Source organism: Homo sapiens, chromosome X (assembly GCF_000001405.40).
Source record: "Homo sapiens chromosome X, GRCh38.p14 Primary Assembly".
Taxonomy (NCBI): domain Eukaryota; kingdom Metazoa; phylum Chordata; class Mammalia; order Primates; family Hominidae; genus Homo; species Homo sapiens.
The window spans coordinates 41,331,252-41,352,278 of record NC_000023.11 but is presented as its reverse complement, the minus strand read 5'-3'; the positions used below and the strand labels follow the sequence as shown (position 1 = coordinate 41,352,278).

At 41.4% G+C, this 21,027-nt stretch overlaps 1 protein-coding gene and 1 pseudogene across 7 annotated transcripts in view, besides 2 other annotated features; one reads left to right on the top strand and one right to left on the bottom strand.

Moving 5' to 3' along the window:
- The window catches only part of DDX3X (DEAD-box helicase 3 X-linked), a 31,165-nt gene extending 12,194 nt beyond the window's left edge, over nucleotides 1–18,971 (bottom strand). The window contains exons 1-17 of one of the 7 annotated variants that reach the window (NR_126093.1): nucleotides 17,982–18,971; nucleotides 14,814–14,871; nucleotides 13,196–13,243; nucleotides 10,663–10,795; nucleotides 9,626–9,784; nucleotides 9,443–9,542; nucleotides 8,928–9,063; nucleotides 8,457–8,542; nucleotides 8,151–8,249; nucleotides 7,880–8,040; nucleotides 6,955–7,099; nucleotides 6,731–6,875; nucleotides 5,869–6,050; nucleotides 5,657–5,774; nucleotides 5,267–5,420; nucleotides 4,828–4,967; nucleotides 4,364–4,639 (exon numbers count right to left, since the gene is read on the bottom strand). Coding sequence is in view for 5 of the 7 variants with exons in the window: in NM_001356.5 (NP_001347.3) it covers nucleotides 4,560–4,639; nucleotides 4,828–4,967; nucleotides 5,267–5,420; nucleotides 5,657–5,774; nucleotides 5,869–6,050; nucleotides 6,731–6,875; nucleotides 6,955–7,099; nucleotides 7,880–8,040; nucleotides 8,151–8,249; nucleotides 8,457–8,542; nucleotides 8,928–9,063; nucleotides 9,443–9,542; nucleotides 9,626–9,784; nucleotides 10,663–10,795; nucleotides 13,196–13,243; nucleotides 14,814–14,871; nucleotides 17,982–18,026 (1,989 nt within the window). In the remaining 2 variants the exon portion in view is untranslated. Of the gene's footprint in view, nucleotides 1–610; nucleotides 4,640–4,827; nucleotides 4,968–5,266; nucleotides 5,421–5,656; nucleotides 5,775–5,868; nucleotides 6,051–6,730; nucleotides 6,876–6,954; nucleotides 7,100–7,879; nucleotides 8,041–8,150; nucleotides 8,250–8,456; nucleotides 8,543–8,927; nucleotides 9,064–9,442; nucleotides 9,543–9,625; nucleotides 9,785–10,662; nucleotides 10,796–13,195; nucleotides 14,589–14,813; nucleotides 14,872–17,981 lie in introns of those variants that run through there. The other 6 variants (NM_001193416.3, NM_001363819.1, NM_001356.5 and 3 more) reach the window with 6 other exon arrangements.
- On the top strand, nucleotides 6,403–6,703 carry RN7SL15P (RNA, 7SL, cytoplasmic 15, pseudogene; annotated as a pseudogene).
- Nucleotides 18,487–18,716: an enhancer, noted in NCBI's record as "active region_29554". NCBI's record gives its function as "activates an Ori minimal core promoter by ATAC-STARR-seq in GM12878 lymphoblastoid cells {active_cell/tissue: GM12878}" and the evidence as "EXISTENCE:reporter gene assay evidence [ECO:0000049][PMID:35858748]".
- Nucleotides 18,807–19,296: a silencer, noted in NCBI's record as "silent region_20774". NCBI's record gives its function as "represses an Ori minimal core promoter by ATAC-STARR-seq in GM12878 lymphoblastoid cells {active_cell/tissue: GM12878}" and the evidence as "EXISTENCE:reporter gene assay evidence [ECO:0000049][PMID:35858748]".

The following is a 21,027-nucleotide window of genomic DNA, read 5'->3' as shown; positions in this document are numbered from 1 at the left end:
TAAGGACTAAAACTGGATATACATCTACAGAAAGCCTTAGAATATAGATATGTCACAGTACTGATAGGCCTACCTAATGACCCTTTGAAGAGGGGGGAGGAAATTGGGGATGTGGCTGTTCACCTAGAGGAGATAGTATCTCATTTTATGTATATATTTAGTTTATCCATTTGTCAGTTGAGGGACATTTTTGTTTCCACTTTTTGGTTACGATGAATAATGCTACAAAACATTCACATACTTAGCATTTTCATTTCTCCTGGGTAGAATCCTCCTAGGAGTGGAATTGCTGACTTTATCTTGTTTTGAGACACCTATTTCCTGCTCTTAAATCGTATTGGTCCGTTTTGTTTTCTCCCATAATAAACATCTTTCCAAGTCACAAAATATCCTTTCATAATATAATTAAACAGTGCTTTGTCAAAAAAAAGTCCTTTCTCAGAATTATCCTAAAAACCCAGTCAAGTGTATGTAGAGAAAACTAAGAGGAAAAAAAAAATGAAGAAATTGAAGAGTAGTCATTATAGAGGACAGCCACATTAGAAACAATGACACTAAACATGCTGAAAAATAGATCATAAACTGAAATGAGGACATGAAGCAAAGCAGGTTTAAATATACTCAGAATTGTATTAAAAATAGAATGGAACACAAGAAAGCAAAACCCAAAGATAGTCTTATAACTTTCAATGCCCTGTACCTACAATAAGTAGGTATCTCTGCATTGTGGGAGTAGTGAGGCCCTATCAACAAAGTCACTGTGCTCTAAAGAGCAAGCCTGTGGCCACTCAAGCAGGTCACGTAGAGCATAGGAGCAAAGGAAACATTTTAAGCATGAAGGTTAGACACAGCTCCTATAAAGCCATTTTAAAAATCTTGAAATTCAGCCAAGAATCCAGGAAACACATCAACAGTGCCCAAGAGTGACAACTGCATTTAAGTGTAATTAAAATTAAACCACATTAATGTAGTATGTAAACATACTAAATTTATGTCACCATAATCCTAACCATGCTAGACTAGAAATAACCTCAAATTTTGGCAGTTCCTCCAGAGCAGATTGTCATGTTCACTCATCATTCACATAAAGTGGAAACTGAACTCTCCTTAGCATCGTTTCACTCCATGAGTCACTTTCAGCCATTGACTATCCAATCTAGCAATCCCAAACCTTTCCATGCTTATTTTGACTAAATCGAGACTCAAGTACCATCATCTTTTCTATCTTCAAAATACATATGGCCATGTGTCAAAATTCTGCCCTAAAAACTTATGCTTATTTTGAGTTCATGACTGGAAAGATTATCCAGAACCATACTTCCTTACAATGCAAAAAATTCTTAATCATACTGCAAACCTTCAACTTACTGAAACAAAAGCTGAATACGTATTTGTTAGATTGAAACGTATCAAACCGCTAGTATGGCTCAATCTAACCAAGCACCTATACACTTGTGGTAGCAGCCTATTGCAGCAGTGTGTACAGTAAGCATAGATGTCTTATTACCTGTTTTCAGAGATAAGGTCTTGCTATACGTTGCCCAGGCTGGACTTGAACTCGTGGGCTCAAGCAATCTTCCTGCCCCTCAGCTTCCAAGTAAACTAGCACTATAGGACTATGTAATCATCACACCTGGCCCAAATAGTCTTGATTCCTTCCCTAAGTATATACTTACCATCACTTGTTGGACTACTGACACACTTGACTTTTATCCTGCTCATTCTTCCACTGTTCAACCATCCTTCATAATAGATACTTCAAAGAACAAAGAGACTCCCACCCATGTCAAATTGTTCAAAGTATAAGCCAATTTCTAATACATGCTGTATTATCAGTAAGGGCCTTTTAGATTTCCGTCTATTACAAAAATCCTGTTTCACTGTATTTCAAACTAATACTATCTTCATCTTTCATTGCAAATACTTATGGTATGAGTCATTCTGTATCCAAGAGGCATCTCAAAAAATAGCACTGGATGACAAGCAAAAAATAACATTTTACAATTTTTCAGGCAAGAGCACTTTATTTACACCTCTGAAAATAAACCACAATTGACAACAACAAAGGAGACTGTGCAGTTCAACTTTTTATTTTAATAAAATCAGAATATGCACAGCACATGCAGTGCTAGCATCTAAACTAATACAATAAGCAATTACTAAAGCTACAGTGACTTGAGGTTCAATCTTTACATTCAGCAAGTTTAAATCCTTACATGATTTTTGAAACCTTATTAACTGAAAATATTGCTTGCTGATAAAACTTGCTCAAATGCTATTGCTGAATGTACAAGTCACTGATTATGCCAATACAACAAAGATAACCACATGTTTGAGGATTGCAATGTGCCAGACATTCACTGAAAAAAAAAAAAAAACACACAACTAAACAAAATCCACACAACAAACATCTGAGAATCTGGACACTTCACATCAGTGTTTTGAAGTGTTTCATTAATATCTTAAGACAAGTGTATCAAAACCTTGGCATGATTTAATTTCAAGTCGCCAATTTTGTTTTTACTAACATCAGAAAGTTATGGCTACACTGCCAACGCCGGGTCTGCTTAATTTGACTTAAGAGTTTAATATGACTTAAACATTAAAAGCTCACACTACCCCGAAATATATAATTTCACGCATACGGTGACATTCAACATTCAAGTGCCAGTGTTTTTGTACTGTCTTTTGGTCAAGTTTCTTTAAACTTTCAAAGAATCACTTTTAGGCTTACAAAAATAAATATTTGTCAAAATGTTCAATAAATATTACATAAAACTAGCAGCAAAAAGTATCTAGAAATCTGTCGTGTGCAAATAGTTTTCTTCCCAACTATCATTCCCATGGTCCCAAATAAATTTTAGAATCTAGTCCCATCCCCTTCCTAGACAAGCTGCGTTCAACAATCTCCAAGAGACAAAGTAAGATTGGAAGTTTAAGGACACGCACACAAGACATATATATAAAATTCTCTGAATGTGCAATAAAAGAAGTACTTTGTAAAAAGTTATGGGCAAAATGTACAAGGGCCTAAACCTAGACTAATTGAAATAGCACCATAACAAATGACCTCAATACTGTCAAGTGCACCTACTTAATAAAAGTTTTAGAACAAGGCACAATACACTTGAAAATCTATTGCACTTTAGGAAATTTTTGCCGTCTTCCTATGCCACTGTAAAAAGATGGAGCGTTTTGATCACCGCATTCTGGCCACAAAATTAGCACAGAATTCAAAGTGGCAGAGGCATTTTAGTGGTGGACAATGCTCATCTTTGGCCAGATTTAGCATAAACAGACTATAAATACAATGGAAACCTATGCAACTAAAACTGACTAAAACTGCACTGTAGAGCAGAATTGACACCTTGTGCAGTTATGTACATATTTCCAACCTGTGTGATCTCAAAGATTTCAGTTTGTTACTCTTCTGGAGCCATTTTTACGAAGTCTATAGTAAGCCAGTTTAACATCTCAACGCAGCTTGAACAGAGTAATGTGAATCGGCATTTAAAATAAAGCCTGCTGCATTTAATTCTTCCTGTTCATACCCTCTTGACCAAAAAACATCAACACTAGCATGCGTTATTAGACCAAAAATCATCCAGGGCCCTAATGAGGGCTGGTCATTGCTGTGGTCAGCCATTCTACCATTTCAATTTCATTTATGGCAGGCATTTAAAAAGTCTAAGTAGATGAATTCTCCTAAAAACCTATTTCAAGTTATCAGACCTTTAAACTTTCCCTGTAATAGTATGCCCACATTTGGCTAGCTCATAATTAATGATCTGCCTAAACGTTGAAAGAGGAATTGCTGTATTTACTTGCATTAACTTTGAAAACAGTGCTTTGAATGTATGCATGTATTCATACATCACCTCATCATGACTGGAATGGCTTAAAGACTATCAGGTTCTAAATACCTATCCAGGATAGAGTGAGCAAATCAGAACTTTAACTTAATACAGTTTGCCACATTAGAAACTAATTCCATTAATATGCTTCAAGACATTTGTTGTTTTCCCCCAATCTGCAAGTATCAAAAAGCCCTAATGCAGGCTACCGCATAAGTTTTTCCTTATATTATTTATGGATGAATCGATGATTCCTGTTAAGTTGTATCACACCTGTGTGCCAAGGTTTGATTTTAGCCCAAGTTCAGTAAATTTATTTTGTCAAAACAATTGATATCTTGAGCATTACTGAGCCAACAGGACATCAAAATAAAAAGTTGTCTAAAGTTAAAGGCACAGTACATTAACAAACAAATGATCCTCAGTCACAAAATTATAAATGCAGTTTGGGATGGGGGTAGGCGGGAGGGGAGTTAATCCAAACTACAGCAATGAAGTCTTCAAACCACCTTCTGAACAGGGCTGCTGATTGTTCCTTTCATTTCTTCTTGTGACCTTGAGCTCCCTTAAAAAAAAAATTTCAGTGGAGAATCACAGCTGGTAATGTACTGCGAGTTCTTGAAGCTACACAAGGTATAGTCTGGCTAAGTTACATGTGGTTTCCATATTAGCTTGTTTGGCAGGGTGACCTACTGCAAAGCAGGCTCAGTTACCCCACCAGTCAACCCCCTGGGAGTTATAATTTCCTCCATATCCATCACTGTTGTAAAAGCCTCCATAGCCACCTAATGAGAGATTTAAAAAGAGAGAGAAATTAATGAAGTTATCCATCATTAAATACAATCCTTCCCTTACGTAATTTGCCATCAAGTTTCTATAGTGCTGAACTTAAATTGTTTAATTAGGCTTTGAAAAAGATGACTAAAAGGAAAAAAACCCTTCCCAAAGCTATGAAGTTACAGATTAACACTACCTCCACCAAATCCTCTGCTGCTACCGTGGCCACCTCCGCCACTGCGGCTGCTGCTTGCGCGGCTGCTGCTGAAGCTGGAACTGCTGGCACCGCTACTTTGTCGGTAGTCTCTGGCACCAAACCCTCCACTAAATCTGCTACTATAAGAAAAAAATTATGTTGGTTCACATGAAGATGAAATTCCACTAAAGTAACCTAACTCTTTCCTAATGACCAATTTCTAATTTTTCCATTCAAACAATTCCCCATCCAGCCATATTTTCCCCAACAGAGTGTCACCCATTCTAATACAACCCCTTACCAAAGAATCTAGGAAGCCTAAGATGATTAAGCTTTTTAAATACTGTACAGTTAACCTTGGACGTTATGCATGCAGAGGAAACACTATGAACTGTAAGTGAACACCCATTCCCCTCATTATATACTATTTATACCTCACCTCTTAGAACGTCCACGACTGCTACCCTTGTAGTGGTGTTCATAAGCCATGTTTTCTAACCAAGACGGCACTTCTTGTTTAGCTTCAACAAGAAGATCCAACAAATCCTTAGTAATATTTATGTTCCTCTCGTTAAAGAATGAGGTTGCCAGGCCTAAAAGAGTTCCCAAAAAAGTATATAAACAAAGGTCTTCCATAAAGTAACTTGCTACTATTCTTACTTTCCTACGTAGAAATATTTAAAATATTACCACGTAATATTTAAACAAGTGCTTTGAGCAAAATCTTTGTCACTTTCATTGTTAAAAATGTATTTTAGATCCTAGCAAGTTCTTTCCTGCACACATCACAGCAAAAAACAATGAAACCATCAAGTAATCAAATACTTACCAAGGTTTCCTACACGTCCCGTACGACCAATACGATGTACATATTCTTCAATATCACTTGGCAAGTCAAAATTGATAACATGTTTCACATTTGAAATGTCCAGTCCTCTTGCTGCTACCTGGAAAATAACTTTTATGAGATATGGCCCACTTAAAAGAAAACAAATACTTGAACATGCTCAATTTGAATAAAAGAAAGATGTTTATACATACTGCTGTAGCCACTAAAATTGGGCTTTTTCCTGAGCGGAACTGGTGAAGGGCCTCTTCTCTATCCCTCTGAGAACGGTCTCCATGGATGCTGGTACATGCGTATCCTTCATGGTATAAGAAATCCTCCAGAGAATCTGCACCCTTTTTGGTCTCCACAAACACTAAGGTCAGTGAATCCTTGCCTGTCGTTGAAAAATTATAGGTTTTTGTCACTAACATGGCTTAGTTCTCTTTGCACTTATGTATGCACAATTTTAATGTGTCAATTAAAATACATATATATCTTCTTAAAAACGGGCTTTCAACACAGCATGTTTTGAATTGAGGAGGAAAAGTAATAAAGGTAATCCAAATACATTTAAGAGATGGGGGTCTCACTAAATTGCCCAGGCTGAGAGTGCACTGGCCATTCGCAGGTGCAATCATGGCATACTACAGCCTCAGCCTGCCAAGTAGCTGGGACTACATGCACTGTACCACTGCACCCAGCCCAAATGGGTTATTACCAGAGCAATTAAATTATTCATAATTTTAGCTGGGTGCAGTGGTGAGTGCCTGTAGTCCCAGCTACTCTGGAGACTGAGGCAGGAGGATTGTCTAAGTCTAGGAGTTCTGGGCTGTAGTGTACTATGCCTATCAGGTGTCCACACTAAGTTTGGCATCAACATGGTAACCTCCCGGAAGCAAGGGAGCACCAGGTTGCCTAAGGAGGGGTGAACAGGCCCAGGTCAGAAACAGAGCAGGTCAAATACTCCCATGCTGATCAGTAATGAGATCACACCTGTGAATAACCCCTGCACTCCAGCCTGGGCAACAAAGAGAAACCCCCATGTCTAATAAAATAAAAAATTCATAATGTTACCTGTTGCATTTAGGAGGTCAAGCAGAAATGACCGTTTGTCTGATTCTTCCACCCAAACTACTTTCTGTGTGATGTTTTCAGAGGTAGAGCCAACTCTTCCTACAGCCAAGAAGATATATTCATCTAAGAAATCACGAGCCAGCATCTGAAAGAAAAAAAATTTTTATTATTACCTGAGATAAACAAATTTCTAAATAAATAAAATTTGCAACATCAAACAGTACCTGTATTTCCTTAGGAAAAGTAGCACTAAACATCATAGTGTGGCGGACACCCTTTGGAGGCATAGTATCTTGTTCGACTATTCTACGAATCTGAGGCTCAAACCCCATATCCAACATCCGATCAGCTTCATCTAACACCAAGTATCTGTCATGTCATGAAAAAAAACAAGCCTGAGTTTAGAATTTGAGGAGAAATCAACATGGTTTTAGTATGGCTGTTAGTATAATTACAAATACAATTGTATAGGTTATTACAATTATATATTCATTAAGATGGTGCCTCACACTGCATAATTTTACAGACACAGCACAGGATTCTTGCCACTACATAAGTCATTCAAGATTACACAGTCAAATTAGCCCATCCTAGTTGACTGTCCCACGAGCTGATCATTGTTGTAAGTCTCAACCAAGATGTTACTGATTTTTCAACATTAAAATTACCATGAACAAGCTTTTTGTGAAAGTTAGATGTCTGAAATACATCACTTCTCAGCCTTAACATTTAGACAATGTTAACATCACCACAAAACTAATGGGCAGTAACTTTAATACTGCATCCCATACATTTAAAAATTAACATACTTGGCCGGGTGCGATGGCTCACACCTGTAATCCCAGCACTTTGGGAGGCCAAGGCAGGCGGATCACCTGAGGTCAGGAGTTCGAGACCAGCCTGACCAACATGGAGAAACCCCGCCTCTACTAAAAATACAAAAATTAGCCCAGCGTGGTGGCACATGCCTGTAATCCCAGCTACCTGGGAGGCTGAGGCAGGAGAATCGCTTGAACCCGGGAGGCAGAGGTTGTGGTGAGCCGAGATCGCGCCATGGCACTCCAGCCTGGGCAACAAGAGCGCAACTCTGCCAAAAACAAAAGAACAAAACAAAACAAAACAAAAAAACAAAAACAAAATAAAACATACTTGCAAAAGTCTAATCCAATCTTTCCTCTTTCCATCATATCCACTAGACGTCCTGGAGTGGCTACTAACAAATGGCATCCACGTTCCAAGTCTCGAATCTGCTGACCAATATCGGCACCACCATAAACCACGCAAGGACGAACTCTAGATCGGTATGAAAACTATAAGCAAAAAAAATGTTATGAACTTCAAGGTCAAAATTTTTACATGTTCATAAAACATTTAATTAGAATCAATGAAAAAGCTAATAATCACTGGAACTCATACTTACTTTTCTGGCTTCCTCGTAGATCTGTACTGCCAACTCTCTCGTTGGTGCTAATACCAAGGAGATTGGGTATTGTTTGCGGCGCCCATACCTTCCATTTTCCTAAGAAATAAGTTAATTTTTAAGTTAACTCTACCTACCCTGTTTGAAAAGTTCATCACAACATAATTCCCTTTTGTAATTTATAGATTACAGATTACACTTGAAAACTGGTTTTCATTCTACTTAAGTCTTAGCATCATTTAGAAAGCCCTCTCAATGGCCACCTACAAAGTTCTACAATTTCCCATTTTATAAAGAAACATCTACCTTCATGGCCCTCAAAGCCTCGCCTGGACCATCTGAATAAATCTGACTCAAGATGGGCAACAGAAATGCTGCAGTTTTTCCAGACCCTGTTCAAAAACAAACAAACAAATCCTGCTCATTACTTTTAAACAGACATTGGTAGATGACAGTGTTTTTTAACTACCCTATTACTAATAATTAGTACTTTTAGTTTATGCTTAAGTTTTCCAAAAAGTGGCTTCTCTGCTCCACCTCTAAGAGGAGTCAGCAAACTGAGACTATTTTGTAAATAAAGCCTGTTATTTTTATAAATAAAGCTCTTACGGAATACAGCCGTAACCAATAATTTATGTATCATCTATGGCTTCTTTCACAGTCCAATAGCAGCGCAGAGCAGCTGCAAAACTGCATGACCCATAAAAAATAAAATATTTTATTGTCTAGTCCTTTACAGAAGAAATATGATGTTTTACTCTTATGAGTTGAGCTTACCTGTTTGGGCACAAGCCATCAAGTCTCTTTTCTCTTTGATAATAGGAATAGCATGCTTTTGCACTGGAGTTGGGCGAGTATAACGAGTAAGCTCAATGTTTCCCATGATAATTTCTCCCATCTCAACATCACTGAACTGTTAAGAAATTCAATGGGGTTAGGAATGCTATCTAGAGCTATTTCTGTTTTATACTAATAATGGAAACAACCAACCAACAGCTGATTGGTAACTCAGTTTATAGTTTAAGTAAAATTATCACATTATACTTTGAGAAAAACCAACCCCCAGGCTTACTGCACATTGGAGAAGACTTTGGGTTGTTCCTATGTTTGACCCATTTTCTATTTTAGGTAATAAATTATTCATAATGGTGACACTGAACTCAACTTCTCCTTTTCCACAAATCTATGAAGCCTCTGGTCTACATGACTTTATGAAGCCCATCTCACATTCTAATGTAACATGAAAACATTTAACCTCTCTGTGTCTTAAAAAGTCAAGCAAAAATACTCACACTTTCAATATGTGGAGGACAGTTGTTGCCTGTTGCCTCAACTGGAATGTCATCGTATTTCTCAAAATTAATCCCAGTGTTGCCTCCAGAAAAGAGTTCCCTCAAATCAAAAAATGGATAAGTTCATTTGTTATACTAGCTAGTAAGGCTTCATCACAAGTAACATACACTTCAAAAACTTACTGTTCCAAGCGTTCACTTGGTGGGAGTGGTTTTGACCAATCATCTTCATCTGATTTGTCACACCAGCGACTGTTTCCACCACGTTCAAATTTGCCAAAGCCACTTCTGTCACCACGGCTGCCAATGCCATCGTAATCACTCCGTCCACGATCATCAAACCTGAACAGCACAAGCAATTAATCAGAATCATATCATTTAACCATTATCAGATTCTTATCCCTACTCTAGAACTGTATCTGGAGACTTAAGTTATGGCTAACCATAAGGATGTCAACAATCCAATTCTGAGTTACTTGACAAATAAGGCTCTCTAACCAGCATCATTTACATAACCTCGTTTTCTAAAATCAGTAATCTTTACATTTCTATAAAGTTGTATAGCCTAAAAGGCCTCACAGATGCCAAAATTAAGAATAAGGATTTTATTTGAAATCGGCACACAGCTCACAACCTTCATTTAAAGTGCTCATCCAAATATATTTAATGGTAGGGAAAACAAGAAAATAGCACACCAAATATCAATCGTCCTAGTTATACTAGGATGTCACTTAAAGGACAATTCACCTGTGTGACAGACTTTGGATAAAAGGTAGAAAATAATCCTTACCTGAACTAAGATGTTTTTAAGAGTTTTAGGCCTGTTTGCGAAAAATCAGGACACAGGACTAACCACAGCTATTAGGCACGTGGGGTCAGTTCACCACACTTGTGTAATCAAAAATACAAGGTGTTTAGAAATTGTTATAGAGTCCACAAAAATCCCAACCAAATTAGGCCATTCACTAGATGAACTTACTCTTTTAAGTAGAACATATAAAACTCGAGAAATAGAATAACTCATTTCATTATGCCAATGAGCATATTCCTATTTTCATCTAATTTCTAAGTAACAGGTTCAATTTAGTAAAAGCCTCTTACGGCTAAGAAAATACAATGACCAAACAGACATAATGCTTAACATCCAAACAGGTGGTCAGGATAACGACTTATTAAACTGTTATTATACATACACGTAAGGTGATTAAGAAATCACTTACCTTCCCCTTGATCCACTTCCACGATCACTGAAGAAGCTAGACTTCCCTCTTGAATCACTACGAGATCCAAAACTGCTATACGCATCCTTATCTTTGCTAGAACTCCACCCTGAACTGTCTTTATCGTAGAAACCTTTGATTAAAAAAGCACAAATACATTTTATTATTAATTAGAAATAGGAACCATGTTAAGGTATTATCAATCTTTCTGAATTTGAAAGCCTCCACTGACTATCCCTACCATGGCACTGTAAGAGAACCAAGATTTAAAGCTGGTTTACACCCGGACAAAGTTTTTCTTTAATTCTCCCCACTAGAAAATACTGTCCACTGGCCAGGCATGGTGGCTCACGCCTGTAATCCCAGCACTTTGGGAGGCCAAGGCGGGCAGGTCACCTGAGGTCAGGAGTTCGAGACTAGCCTGACCAACATGGAGAAACCCCGTCTCTACTACATATACAATATTAGCCAGGCGTGGTGGCCCACGTCTGTAATCCCAGCTACTCAGGAGGCTGAGGCAGGAGAATCACTTGAACCCGGGAGGCTGAGGTTGCAGTGAGCCAAGATTGCGCCACTGCACTCCAGCACGGGAAACAAGAGTGAAACACCCTTGTCTCAAAAAAAAAAAAATTACTTTACACTAAATCAAGCAATCTGACAGTCTAAGAATGTTTCTCAATGAATACTACCTCTAAGTGGTCAACAGCTTTGCCTGTAACGCATTATGACGTTGTGTGACCATAACAATTTAATTTCCATTCATTTTATAGGTGTGAATGAGTTTACTAGGAAAAACAGTTACCATTGTTTCCATGTTTCTTGGAGGTGGTATTCATTTAGAACATTCATAGACTGTCAGATTACTTGGTTTAATACAGTATTTTTCAGTTTCAATAGTATAAAGTACAAGAACACTAATGTCAAATTGTAGTATTATTTTAGTGGTTCATCTACTATAAGCTTGATGACAATCAGGAATACCTGGGAAAAAGAAAAACCCTCATCACTATATATTCTCAGTATAGACAAGGTTCCTGGGTACAGCTATAAATATCCAGGTAAGGGGATGACAAACATGTAAATTAACCCAAAGACAGGTAGAGGGTTTAAAGACAGGTAGAGGGTTTAACTAGCTTCAGCAACACCTTATTAAACAGAAACAGCTTCTCAATTCAGTTACTTTCCTTCTGCCTTCTACCTCCTACCGTTAGGCCAGTCAGGTGACCAACAGCCTTTGCTAGCAAGAAAGAGTTAAGTTAGATTGCCAGATCTCTACCAGCTCTAAAACCTCTATGATACTGCCATATACACGAGGGTCAATTCTAGCTAGTATACTAGGAATATTGAGAACATCCATGATGATAAAGACAAATTCCAAAGTAACCTCCCCTAAAAAGAATATAATGCCAGCCAGGCATGGTGGCTCACGCCTGTAATCCCAGCACTTTGGGAGGCTGAGGCGGGTGGATCACTTGAGGTCAGGAGTTCGAGACCAGCCTAGGCAACAAGGCAAAACCCCGTCTCTACTAAATATACAAAAATTAGCCGGGCATGGTGGCACATGCCTGTGATCCCAGCTACTTGGGAGGCTGAGGCAGGAGAATCACTTGAACCCAGGAGGCGGAGGTTGCAGTGAGCCCGCGCTACTGCACTCCAGCCTCCGCAGCAGAGCAAGGCTCCGTCTCAAAAAAAAAAAAAAAAAAAAAAAGCCAAAGTGATCTTCTGGTAGAAATAATACAGATTTTATATCCATGCATTGCCAGGACAGTGAAGGTAATACAGACTACATATGGAGATGGAGGAACAGCAGCAAACCATGTGCTCCCCTGTGGACTCTCCACTCTTCCTATCTGCCTTCTTTATACAGTATCTTCCCTCCTAATCTTTGGTTTTCCTGACTTTCCCTTTTCCTCCAAATTTTGGATGGTCTATTTTACAGAATATAAAGCACCCGAACAGCTGTCTCATAATATGAAACATATACTAGCTGTCATCTATCACTACGTTACAATTACAATGGGAAAAGACACCAGATATTGTAATACATTTTGGACAAAACCTTTCAAAAGCAGCAAGGCAAGGAGATGAAACCAGAGAATCACTTCCAACGCTGTAACTTGTTAACTGTTCTACAATAAGCCCATCTTCATTTCTAGCAACTTTGCCAAGACAGAAATAACCAGGTTGTTATCATTATACAGCTTGGTTTACACAGTAGGGCACCCACCTCTTCCAAACTAAAACCATGCTGTGAATGATTACAAACAGATTCAGCACAACACTAGTGAAACTGTACAAAACCATGCCCTTGGCGTCAGAACAGTTTGACATAGGAATGCCGAATTTCCCACTGCGTAACATTAGATGAGTTCTTCCAAAATTATTAAGCTCTAGTATTTGAACCAAGGCTGACAGAAGCATAGAAAAACAACACCATGTTTAGACCTCCCCCAAATGCCTGGTTTTCCTTAGGCTTTACTAACTTCTAAAGGAGGCAAAAAATAGACCTACGAAGTTACTTGTGAGGACCTACCTTTAGTAGCTTCTCGGTTCCTTAAATGAGGAGGAATATAGCGCCCTTCTAAAAAAATATATATATATATAAAATTAATTAAATGCCAAAAAACCTTCCCATTTAAATTTCTGTTACTAAAAAATGGTTCTGGGAAATTAAAATCTCCAGCCTTCCAATCTGATTACTTACCTGGACACTGAGAGGGGGGAAAAATAAGAATCTAATTTTAAATGGGTTACTGCTTCATAAGGAGAACTCTGAAAGGAGTTTGATAAAAAAAAGCTGATTTGGAACCTAATAGTTGAAATCCACAAATTGAGCACATTTAGCCACCAGTGGTCATTTAATGTGATTTTTTTAAAGGCCTGCTAGATTTAAGAGAACTGTCATCAAAACTGTCAACAAAAGCATTAAGTATTACTGTAACAATTTAAGATTACTCATGTAACATATCTCACAATCTTTTGTTTCTATGCCAGTAAGTTGCAAAACATACAATAAATAAACAAGGAAAAGCTGCAAAGGGGAGTTAATTTCAAGGAATTGCAGGTTTTAATTTGGGGCTTGCTGAGTTTAAGGAAAGTTGACAGTTGCTCTGTATGCGAGCAGGAGTACAGCCTAGAATATGGATAAGCAAAAAAAACAACATAAAGCCAAATAAATTTGCTTTATAACTAGTAAACGTGTCATTTTTCTTTTTCACTTCTAGACTGAATTAAATATTTTTAAAAATCTCTACTAGGACAATCAGTTCCTAAAAGATTCTTAGCATGACAAATAAGGTGAAAGTTAAAGCAAACACCAAGTTTTGTTCCCAGTGAAGCTGTTCTTGCCTAAAAATGAGGACACATCATAGCCCATACTCACTTTTGTTTTAATAAGTAGGAAGAGATCTGAGCTAAAAATAAGGGTCTATTGCCCTTATAATAAACCACCAAGATCCCCTATCTTAACACTAACCTCTAACAAGTCTCTAAATAACCCCCCTTAGAAGAAAAAAAGCAACTTTTCTAATGCCTTTTTAAAAGAAATGACACATTTGAAAACCTAACCTAACCACCAATCCAAAATTCAGTATAGTCTTCTGTTCTTCAGGAGAAAGGAGTAGCTATAACCAATGAAATGCATATTCCCTTAATTCAATTTAATAAATATAGTCAGTTAACAGGGACACATTCCCATCACCTCTAAACTGGGCTCAGGATTTATAATGGACAAAAACTCTTCTAGAGATAATTTGATATAATAAGGTTCTTTCCAATGATTAGCTGCTTTTACTCAAGAGAGCCAGCTAGTCATTGATGTTTTATTATCAGAAAGGCACAGCTATTCGGGAGGCTGAGGCAGGAGAATCGCTTGAACCCGGAGGCAGAGACTGCGGTGAGCCGAGATCACACCATTGCACTCCAACCTGGGCAACAAGAGCAAAGCTCCATCTCAACCAAAAAAAAAAAAAAAAGGCAACGATGCTTTAGATTGATCACTAAGTACTACATAATTCTATAACACAAAGACTACATAATTCTTTAAGCAGTAAAAAATTGAAAGGCAAATTTCTTAAATTTTACATAAGCCCAATGAAATCTTAAGATGTTAAGCTCTAATATTCAATAAACCCACAAGATGTTGTACTTACTGCTGGCTGTACTTCCTCCACTCTGATTATCTGAAGAGTTCAGGTCTAGGCCAGCAAACTAGAAGAGAGTGAGATGGTTAGCACCCCATGTGCTCAAATACTACATTAAGAGAAAACTAGTCCTGCCCTCTAGCATTTGCTAGTACTGCATTCAAGTAGTTGCCCAGTCCACCTCACAGGGCTAATACCAACCCTTAATGAGAATGTGACTAAGAATGTTTTCAAGTCTGCAATGCTCTAAGCAAATGCAATATTACTATTGTATATACTACAGAAGGCGGCACACCAAGATGCTTGTGCTGTTCAGTAGAAACTGTCCAAATTTAATTCATGCATTCAAAATAAATTTTCACTAACATGTTCCATAGCACAGGCTCCCTAATCACCAAACTAAAGCTTACACTGAATCTCAAAATTATTCCTCAATGTCAAATAGATAAAGGATTCGTTTTAGTGCCGGTTATGAAAGTTTCCAATGCCAACTTTCCGTAATACTTGATATTTTAAACCTAAAATGCACACCTGAAAAATGTCAGGACAAATTTCGAAGTGGCCGTTCTTTTAGTTAGATACTTCATCCCTAAATATTGCCCAAGTATTTTTAGTCGGGTAGTACTCTTAAGAACAACAAAAAAATAGCAATATACCTACCACTTACAGAACACTATGTTAAGCACAACTCTTAAGTAGTTTGACTGTTTCGTTTGTTTTTATTTTTATTTTTTTTGAGACAGAGTCTCCCTCTGTCATCCAGGCTGGAATTCAGTCATGTGATCTCGGCTCACTGCAACCTCCACCTCCCCGAGTAGCTGGGATTACAGGGGTGCGCCACCACGCTAGGCTACTTTTTGTACTTTTAGTAGAGATGGGGTTTCGCCATGTTGCCCAGGCTGGTCTCCTGACCTCAGGTCAGGTGAACCACCTGCCTTGGCCTCCCAAAGCACTGGGATTACAAGCATGAGCCCGGCCTGAAGTAGTTACCTGTTTTTACCCCATTTTAACATAAGTTCAAAGATGACTTTGAATAAATGGCACAACTGGCGTTCAATGCTCTTAAAGAGTAGGACATCTTAGTGCCTTTCATCTCTATTTCTACCTATCCCCTTACACTGGTAGCTCAAAAGCCTCTTCATTCTAGAAAAGGGTTATGTGCTACCTTCATAACGTTTTATAACCAGGAACTACTCACAAGTAGTTGGGAGAAAAAACTATACATGCAAAGTGTTTCATTTTTCTCAAAAAAGCCACAAAAGACCAAGTCACACAGTACCGCTGCCAACCTGTTTGCAAAAGATGCACTACATACCATGTTTATAAATCTTGTGTTTAAAGCTCAGTATGATACGGCCAAACCGCATGCATCATCAATGGAGTCACTGAAAACTGGAAGCAGATGCTATACTTTTAAAAAATGAGTGTAAGACTTCAGGCACCTAATTTCCAGAATTTCTATGAGCAAAAACACCACTGCGCTTTCTCTTGCTACCATCAATACTTTAAAGCACGGTAGGAACACAAACTTTCCTTTTGCACTTGTTATAGCACAATTTTGCTTTTTAAATAAGGTTCACTGTTGCCTAGAATCCTTAAAAGGACACTATAGCTAAATGGAAAATGGTAAAACTGGGAATACTCTGTGCTGCTGGTAGGTTGTTAAAGTGTCTGTTCAATTCAACATGTGTCAGCAATTAGAGGATTTAATATAATTGGTTCATTAACGGGTAGAAAATGCTTCCAAAGGAACAGATCAATTCCTAAAAAATATTACATATGACTACATTAAACTATGTATTCAATTAATTTGTGCCACTAAACTTCGTCTCAGGATTATTCCGGAGTTTGTGAAATCAACGCTCCCCTAATCACAGTAGACAGTAGTTTATTTAAAAGCTCCGCATAACCCACACAAGAGCTTATCTGAAGCCTGGTGCCACTGTTGCGGTGGGATGCAGACTTCCTGCCACCAAAGTCCATAACCTTCTCCTCTCAAATCACACATCTTTCTCTCCTCTGCCCCTAAACCCTTAGAAGAGGGGATTCTGGCTAAGAGAAAAAACCCGGGGGCCTGGGACCCATTGCAAGATTCTACTCCACAGATAGCAACAAGTCAACAACAAAACTGTTTACTTCCCCCCTAAGCCGGGTGTTTTTCCAATGGCGGATTCCTGGATCACAGTCACTAACACGAAGACACTACCACAACCCGCGATGACCCCTCCACCCCAGAAAAACAACGCGGGACTCCCGGCTAACATACCACACAGGGACAATCTGGGGCAAGCAAGGAGGAGAAAGGGCCTCGCTGGCTCCCTAACCTCCCCGCCACGTCCAACCTCTATCTCCAGGGCCCAGCGCGCAGCGGCCAATTCCTGCCTCCCCTCCCCGCCCCCACCCCTCCCCCACTCCTCCCCAATCTTCTGCGTCACAAAACTTTCCACTCCGGAAACGCAGCCTCCCCGGCTGCGGCGCAGGGCCCCCGGACCCTGCGGAACCTGGGCTGAAGCGAAAAAGCCAGCGGAAGGAACCCGGGAAAAAACAAGAAACCCATTCCATCCTCCTTTCCAGGCCTTCGCCCGCCCGAGACCCGCCGTCTCCCGGAGGTGAGCCACAGCGCCGCCCAGCACCACACAAAAGAGGCCGCCGCCATTACCCCGAGCGAAGGCCGCCCCCTCCCACATTCCTGGGCCGCGTTCTACCCCTTGCTCGCAGGCACGCAAACACCGGGTGCCGCCAGGTCCTCCGGACGGGAATCCAGGCTGCGCCAGCCGTGAAGGCCGAAGCCCTCCAAGCCAAAAGGGCCTCCAGTCGCGTCCCGCCGCGCTGCGCACTCCCGCAAACCCCCCCAGGTCACTAATCAGTCGGGATTCGCGCATGCGCGTCCCCGCGAGAGCGCGCGCACTTCCTCCCCCTCCGCCCGCCTGCGCACGCACACACAAAAGCCGCCATTGTGCTCGTCCCGGGGACAATACAGCGGGCCGAGACCGGGCCCGGGCGACAGCCCCAACCAACATTCCTATCCCTCTATAGCCCCGGGGCACTCACACCCGCCAGCCCGGGGCACCCAGAAAATGAAAAGTAAGGGTGCCGGTTAGCGCTGCGCCATTAGCCAGGTTAGGTCAGGGGAGGAATTCACGCAGCAGCCAGCCCGGTGGGGTTCTTGCGGCTCACCTGCTGGTCCAGCCCGAGCGCATTTTCCACTGCCACATGACTCATCCCTGAAGAGTACCGAGAACTCGGAGTCTTCCGCTGCTAAGCGAGTGTTTGTTCCACCGCGAAGGCCCTCTCACGGGAGAACTGCGGCTCTGGAGCGCACCGCGCGGCCACGGATCTAATATACCCGCTGGAAAGCCGGCTACGTCAGCACGTACAACGTGTGCCCTCCCTCTCACACCGCAATTCCCTGTCGCGGCGACTTCTGCCCGGCTACTGCGCGCTCCCTCAGGTCTAAGCTCAAGGGATTTCCTACTTAGTCCTGTCGCCCCTAGCAGTCCTGCCTTGGAGCTTAGGGTGCGAAATGCTGTCCCAGTTCTCTCGAGCTACACTTCCCGTGCTCTCCGCTAAAACCCTAGTCTCAGCCTCGGAGTTCTCGAGATCTCGCGAGAACTTGCGTCTCCCGCTTTCCACCGGCTAAGACGCCTGAAAATGTTAACCTAGGCCTCTTCGCCCCCCTTTCCAACCTTACGCATTCGCTCCCCTTTCCAACTCTATGCACTCAGCTTTCGTTTTTCGTTTTTTTTGTTTTTGTTTTTTTTTTCCTAACACTGGCCTTCACTCTTCTTCCTCTCTCAGTTCCCGGGCTTGGAGATGTGGTGGGATTTCTCCGGTCTAATCTGCCCTCGCTCTTCCGCGGGTAGCCTCCCCTTAGTGGGAGCTAGGCAGATTCCCGAAACTGAGAGGGCGGCAGGCCACGTGACCGTAGGTGTCGCGTGCGGTGGCCATTTTGTGAAGCAGGAAACGGTGGCTTGAATATAGAGTGCTCCGGACGGGGGAGGGGAGGGGAAGAGGAGGAGAGAACAGAGGGAAGGGGAGGAGAGGGAGGGAAAAGAGGGGAGCGGAGTAAGGGGAAAGGAGGAGGGAGGAGGGTAGGATGGTGACCGGGGCGGGAGTCGGGGGGAAATGGAGGGGAGCCGGCGGCGCGCGCAGGTGGCCGGACACCTTCCTGCGCGGTTGCCTAGGCAGCGGGGGCGCCGCCTAGAAACACACAATGGCCCCTCCTGGCCAACCCCCCGACGTGTGCGCGCGCGCCTCCGCCCCCGCCCCCCGCGGTGAGGGAACAATGAGACAGACACGCGCTGATCCGGAACCGCCGCTGGCGCGCCCTCCCGGGACCCCGGCTCTCCGCAGGAATGCGGGCTACATTTGCCCCTAGTTTCCTCCCGCGGGGCGCCCAGCGGCTTAGGGCCGGTGACCACCGGCGTTGCGGGGACCCCGCGGGTGGCGAACGGCTCTTCTAGGGCCCAAGGGTGTCGGGAATGTTTGTAGCCGGTGCAACCTGGGCCTGCCGGAGGGGCTGCAGCGGGGTTACCGGCCTGGGCTCGGGGTGACTCTCAGGCCGCTGCGGTGGATGAGGAACAGGAGGAACCGGGTTTCTACCGTCGGTGGAACCTCTTCCTGTGGTTCCCTCCTAGGCAGGCCACCCCAAGTCCCGGCTTCGGTGCCGCAGGCCCTTAAATAGAAGAAGGTGTTTACTAGTGGATTCCCGGCTTTGAGCCGGCGCCCGCACATCCGTAGTTTCTTATGACCGCTTTCCCCTCTCTTCTGACCCTCAGCCCTACGAAATTAAATAAAACGCAGTGGTTTCCACCACCCCCACAAAAGGTCTTCTGCTGCCAGAATTCAAATAGTTCGTGCTCATCACATAATTTACTATACACATAACTTCTCTCCCTTCTCAATTTTTAAAATCGAGACGGAAATTCGAACGAGATAGGGAGAGAATATCACACTGTCGGGGGCAAGTTGTTTAACGGCTTTGGGTCTCAATTTGCTCATCTATAAAAGGAGTCTGCTACATTCCATAACCCTGTGAAAGACCCAACTCCTTTTCATAACGAGTATTTTCTAACGCCCCCTTTACCTATACTGAAATAACAAAACCTAAATTGTTTATGTAAACCTACAAACACAATTTCAAAAAACATGATCTGTCAACAAACGAAAGCAAAATGATTATAATAAAACAATGTATTATAATATGTAAATGCCGCCGCACAGCTACACTAACTGGTGGGAAGACACTTGCCCAGTAGAGCCACAAATGCAAACTGGAAAGGTGTGTTGATTTCACAACTCAAGTTCCATGAGCAGCATTGCTACTAGGAACCTCATTTTCCAAAATGATGAACTATTAATAATTTTTAAATAAAACAGTACAATCTTCCTTCAATTGAAACAGTACCTGCATTTGTGGAAAATTCAGGATATATGGAAACTGGGCAAAGATACTTTGTGTTCATATGTAAAACAGTGTTAGTTCTAGGCTTAGATGATAATGAACTAGTTTTTCACCGACATGTGTCCAGTGATTCAATTATTCGCTCTGTGGGACTGACCAGCATCATAGAACATCCTAGCGTGCCTGGCTCCTGCCCACTAAATGCCAGTAGCTCTCGCCAGTCATTGTGACAACCAGAAATACACAGATTTCTACAATGCCCCTTGGAGAGCCACTAGGTTTAATGATATTAGGGTCCCTTCCTGCCCTGAGATTCGTGGATTCTCATGGAGTTTTGGTGAAGGACCTCGGTTTTGTTTCAGTTTCGTTTTCCTATGAACCAGGGTAAACATGAGTCAGGTTCGAAAACTGTGAGTTCCGACAGCTCTTCAAACTGCATATAGCAACAATGGGATGCACTGACTACCCTGGTTCTGGGCTTTGTTTTACTTTTGAGTAGAGCCGAGTACAGGGTACCGCCATGGGAGTACCTAAAAGAATTGAAATATACAGCAGTTCCCTATTTTCAATTAACCCCTGCTCATAGGCATACTTGGTTCAAACCACCAGGGTATTTTGTTAATCAATACGTTATAATTGGAATATCCAATTGGAGAGGAAGCGGGAAAACATACAAAGCTTTGTCTTTAAACACATTCACTTTGAAAAAGAATGATGTGCACACTTGAGGCAGCTAAATAAATGAGCCAACTTTCACAGCACTCCGAATGACTTTTCCGTTTAGCAACATTTGCATATTTTCTCCACATGGCAGTTATT